The sequence below is a fragment of the Homo sapiens genome, chromosome 1, assembly GCF_000001405.40.
Source record: "Homo sapiens chromosome 1, GRCh38.p14 Primary Assembly".
Classification (NCBI taxonomy): domain Eukaryota; kingdom Metazoa; phylum Chordata; class Mammalia; order Primates; family Hominidae; genus Homo; species Homo sapiens.
The window spans coordinates 72,806,867-72,812,231 of record NC_000001.11 but is presented as its reverse complement, the minus strand read 5'-3'; positions in this window follow the sequence as shown (position 1 = coordinate 72,812,231).

Below are 5,365 nucleotides of genomic sequence, written 5' to 3'. Positions count from 1 at the left end.
GTCAAACTAAAAAAATAGATTTATAAAATGTTATTTAAAAACTAGCTTTAACATCAACAATATACTACTGGAAACATGAAATTTGTTTTTCTCTTTTAAAGAAGACTTTTATGTAATATTAAAAGATAATGAAAGGTTTTTGTTTACCTTTTTAGTAAACTACAAAAAAAGGGGGTGGGGAGGAAAGAAAGGAGACAGAGTCAGTAGGCCTCATGCTATCTTCATTGAGTCTTCTTTGGAAAGCTAAAAGACTCCTATCTATCAGAATAATGTTTTTTCCTTTAAAATTTTTTTGAGTTATCATTTTGGCTAAATGAATTACTTATGGTAAGCTAAGATTATATTTTGTAATATCCAATGTTTTAAACTTTGGTATTTAACAAACTTTTCAAAATCAAGCTCTAGATTATCATGCAAAACCAGCCAACATTAAAATTGTTTAAATATGCAATTTGAATGAACTCCATGGTCTAAGTTAAATTACCTCTGATAACCTATTAGTTATCATTGCTTTGCACCTAAATTGGAGAAACAACTAGTATTCAAGAGGACTTAAGTCCAGTGTTAAGCATGGACTCATGAAGAACCAGGACAGCCACCTTGTCCTTCCTGATTCCTTAAAGCTTTTATTATTAAGGTTCTGCATTCCATGACTCATCATGGAAAAGAAAAATTAATCCAAATTGAATATATTGATGTAGTGAGTTATAAATTACAGAAATAGTTTAAAATAAGTTTTTGGTTCCATATTCCTGGAATGATAATCAAAGTTTGAGGTACATTTGGCTACCTCATGGGCCATTTAAACATTTATAAAGGGATTTCATTCAATTGTCATTTTCAATGCATGTTTTCTGGTTGTATAAAAGCTTTCCCATTCAAGAGGCCTGATGTTATAAGAGCAGATTATTATGCTACAGTGAATTTTCACCAGGAAAAGAACTTTTTTTATGGTTCACTGAGTACAATTCCTTCACAATCTAGAACCCAGAGTTTGGATCTTCTGAGAACATCAGAGAAAGACTGTCCTTGCCATTTACACTACAGCAAAACTTTGGAGTCTTGAACCTTGGGTTCATAATCTCACAACTGAGAAGGGTCTCTCCACACTCCTGGAACTGTACACCCATTGGTACCCTTAAAGTAAAACTAACCAGGAAAGTTTTTCCCCAGAAGAAGATGGCATCCTTAATGTTAACAGCTTTTCCCAACATCATGGATCAAAACTTCTACTATCACTAGACTCTTATCTTTAAATATTTTTTCCTTATTTATGCCTCTGTGAACAGTAGAAATAAAAAGAGAATCTACTATGTGCACTTATAATGTATACTTTTATTTATGAAGGATTTTGCAGCCAGCCTTATACATGAATAACCTTACACTTCAACAGATAAAAGATGAAGGCCCAATGTAGGTGAGAAACATTAGTGGTACATACATTGCCTTATAATCAGTCAAAACTCCTCTTAACCCACAACCTGGAATAAAGAGAACATTGCCAGGAGGCCTTCAGTCTTCTAGAAGGACATCATTTGTTAGGTCCTTTTTCCATGGTTTAGAATAAAAGAGGCAATAATTAGAAATATCTCCCTCATAATAGGTTCTACAGCAAATTGTACTTTAAAGGCTATTATCGCACAACAGACTTTAAATTCTCTTGTGAAAGTTATGCTAAATAATAGAATTGACTAAACAGAGAAGCACCTGTGCAGTTGCTGACATTTGTGGCCTATGGAGAAATCTATAAAATGTAAATTATAAAAATTCAGTTGTAGGGGATTAATGAAAAGACCACTTAGTCAAGTGAGTAGACTCTTCATCTAGCTCATTCTTTAATCTATCTAATTTTAAGTAGTTTGGTTTGTGGGGTCCCTGAGTAAGGAGAATACTCCAAACTCTTGGCATTATCCTCCCAATAGTCATAATGGTCTTCCTGGTACACTGTATTCTCTCAAAGATTTTAAATGTTCACATGCAGCCATCTCTAGAACATCAAATGGTCTCTCTTCAACTGGAATGACAAAAGCAGAAAGAAATGTGTGACCATGAGGACACTGTGACCTATGAATGACATGCTGAGACCAGAAACCCAAAACGATGGTAACTGAGAATGGTGCTAAGGCTCTAAGTTTTTATTACTTTCTCACCTAAGTGAGAACCTGGCCAAAAGGGGGGACTTTTTTAAAAACAAAATTACAAGAGGCCATTATTTTGGATTGAACTCATGTACTAGGTCCTAACAAACCAAACCAAACTAAAATGGAGTCACTCATGCTAAATGTGACATAATCAAACTAAGGCTTTAAGAAAACACATAAGTACTAGAACAGATCAGGTTTTGTTTTTCTCCTGTAAAAAGGATGGTCCAGCATAAGGAGGTACCCCCTATTCAGTCCTTATTCTCTTTGCAAAACTCACTGTTCTACTGCTTCCCAGTGAATTTCAAAACCATATTGGTACATTTATGACAGCGACAGTGGCATCAATGCCTAAGGTTTTGGGCAATCTCTCAAAATTGAGAAAATGACCACAAGGGGGGAATTGTTAAAGTGAAGTAAATATGGCCTGTGAAGGACTCCATACTTCTATACTTGAATCCTTGTAGATGAACTGTAACCTAGCTTAATAGTCAGACAAAATTGAAAACCTAACTTAATAGTATGCACCTGTAACAATGGCTGAGTGTTGGCCAATTCCATCTGCCATACTTCAACTACTCATAGACTGCTGAATGTTCAAACTGCATGCAAATAAGGCAAACACTGAGCTATAACCAATCTCACTGTTTCTGTACCTCACTTCTGATTCCTGTGCTTCACTTGATCTTTTTTGTCTATAAATTTGTTCTAACCACAAGGCACTCCTGGAATCTCTGTGAACCTTCTGTGATTCTGGTGTCTGCCTGATTCACAAATCATTCATTGCTCAATTAAACTCATTTAAATTTAATTTGGCTGAAGTTTTTTTATGACTATCAAAAAATTTATTCTGTTCCTCCCTGGCACACATTATACTTTCTAATTGTATACTGAACTGTGTTTTACTTTTATATTGCTTATTTTGCACATAACTCCATGAAGGCAGGGTCCGTGACTATTTTATTAATCACTATGTACCCAGAGACTTGTATAAAGCATAGCAAATAATCAAAGCCTAATAAAATATTTGTTTAATAAAAAACGGAAAAGTGGAGGCAAAGCAAGATGGCCACATAGAACCCTCCAATGGCCATAGCCCCAAGAGGAATACAAATTGAACAACTATCTACACAAGAAAGCACCTTCGTAAGAATCAAAAATCAGGCAAGCTATCACAGTACTTGCTTTTAACATCATAAAAAGGAAAGAGGCACTGAAGAAGGTAGGAAAGACAGTCTTGAATTGCCAATACCATCCCTCCCCCATCTCCCAGCAGCACAGTATGGCATGGAGAGAGAAGCTGTGTACTTGGGGAAGGGGGAAGAAAGTGATTGTGGGAATCAGTGCTGCACTGCTACAGAAAGCAACATGGGAAGAATTCAGCCAGAGCCTATGGAGGGAAGATTAAGACCAGCCCTAGCCAGAGGCAAATTATCCGTGTCAGGAGTCAAAACCTGAGTTCCAGCAAGCCATACCACCACAGGTTAAAATGCTCTGTGGTCTTACATAACTTGAAAGGCAGTCCAGGCCACAAAGACTGCAATTCCTGAGCAAGTCCTGGTGCTTTGCTGGGTTCAAAGCCAGTTGACTTGGGGTGCACATTATCCAATGAGACACCAGCTGGGGCAGCCAAAGGAATATTTTCATTACTCCTTTCCCAACCCCAGGCAGTGCAGCTTGAAGATCCAAGAGGGATATCTTCTTTCTACTTGAGGAGAGAAAAGGGGAGAGTAAGGGTACTTTGTCTTGCACCTTTGATATCAGTTCAACCACAGTAGGATACAGCACTAGGCAAAGTTCTGCAGCCCCATTCAAGGCCCCAGCTCCTAGATGACATTTCTAGACCCACACTGGGCCAGAAGAGAACCTACTGCCTTGAAGAAAACAACTCAATCCTGCTGACTAAAGAGCCCTTGGGCTTTGAATAAACATTAGCATTACCCAAGCAGTACTGACTGTGGGCTTTAGGTGAGACTCAGTGACATGCTTGCTTTAGTTGTGACCCAGAACATTCCCAGTTGTTGCAGTCATGGGGAGAGACCCCCGCATGAGGAAAGGAAAGGGAAGATTAAGGGAATTTTCTCTTGCAGCTTGGGTACCAACTTGGCCATAGTGGGTCAGAGCACCAAGCAGGCTATTGGGGTTCCTGATTCTATGCCTTGGCTCCTTGATGCCATTTCTGGACCTGATCTGGGCCAGAGAGGAGCCTACTGCCCCAACAGGAGAGACAGACCTGGCAGCATTCACCACAAGGTGATTAAAGAGCTTTTGGGGCTTAAGTGAACATTGGTGGTAGCCAGGCAGTATTTGCCATGAGCCTGAGTGGTGGTAGCTGCAGGGAGAGACTCCTTTTGCTCAATAAAAGGAGAGGGAAGAGTTGGAAGGACTTTGTCTTGCAGCTTTGGTGTCAGTTCACCTGCAGTAGAATAGAGCACCAAGTAGATTCTCAAACTTTCTGAATCCCAAACCTGGCTCCTGGATGGCATTTCTGGACATGCTCTGGGTCTGAAGTGAGCAGAGGGGGGTAACTTGCCACCCTGAACGTAAGAACACAAGCCTGGATGGACTTCCACTTGATGACTGAAGAGCCCTTAGGCTTTGGTGAACATTGGTGATAGCCAGGCAATGGTTGCTGCAAACTTTGGGCAAGACCCATTGATGTGCTGAGTTTGGGTCTAACCCACCACAATCCCATTGCTGGTGGCCACAGGGGTGCTTGTGTCACCTCTCCCTCAACTCCAGGCAGCTCAACATAGAGCGAGAGACTCCAATTCTTTGGGGAGAGGAAAAGGAAGATAACAAGAATCTTTGACTGGTAATCCAAAAAATTGTCCTGGATTTTACCAAGGACTACAAAAATCGTACCCTGATGAGTCTGCAAGAGTCACAGTGCTACTGTGTTGGGGTGTCTCCTAATACAGACATGGCTGCTGTAACCAAAGACTTAGATAATAGCACTAAATTTCCTTTGAATACATGGAAAGCCTTCCCCCAAAAAATAGGCACCAACAAGCCCAGACTGTGGAGACTACAATAAATACCTAACTCTTCAATGCCCAAATTGATGAACATCTACAAGCATCAAGATCATACAGGAAAACATGACTTCACCAAACAAACTGAATAAGGCACCAGTGATGAATTCCACAGTGAGAGATATATGACCTTTCAAACAGATAATTCAAAATAGCTATTTTGAGGAAGCTCAACAAAATTTAAGATAA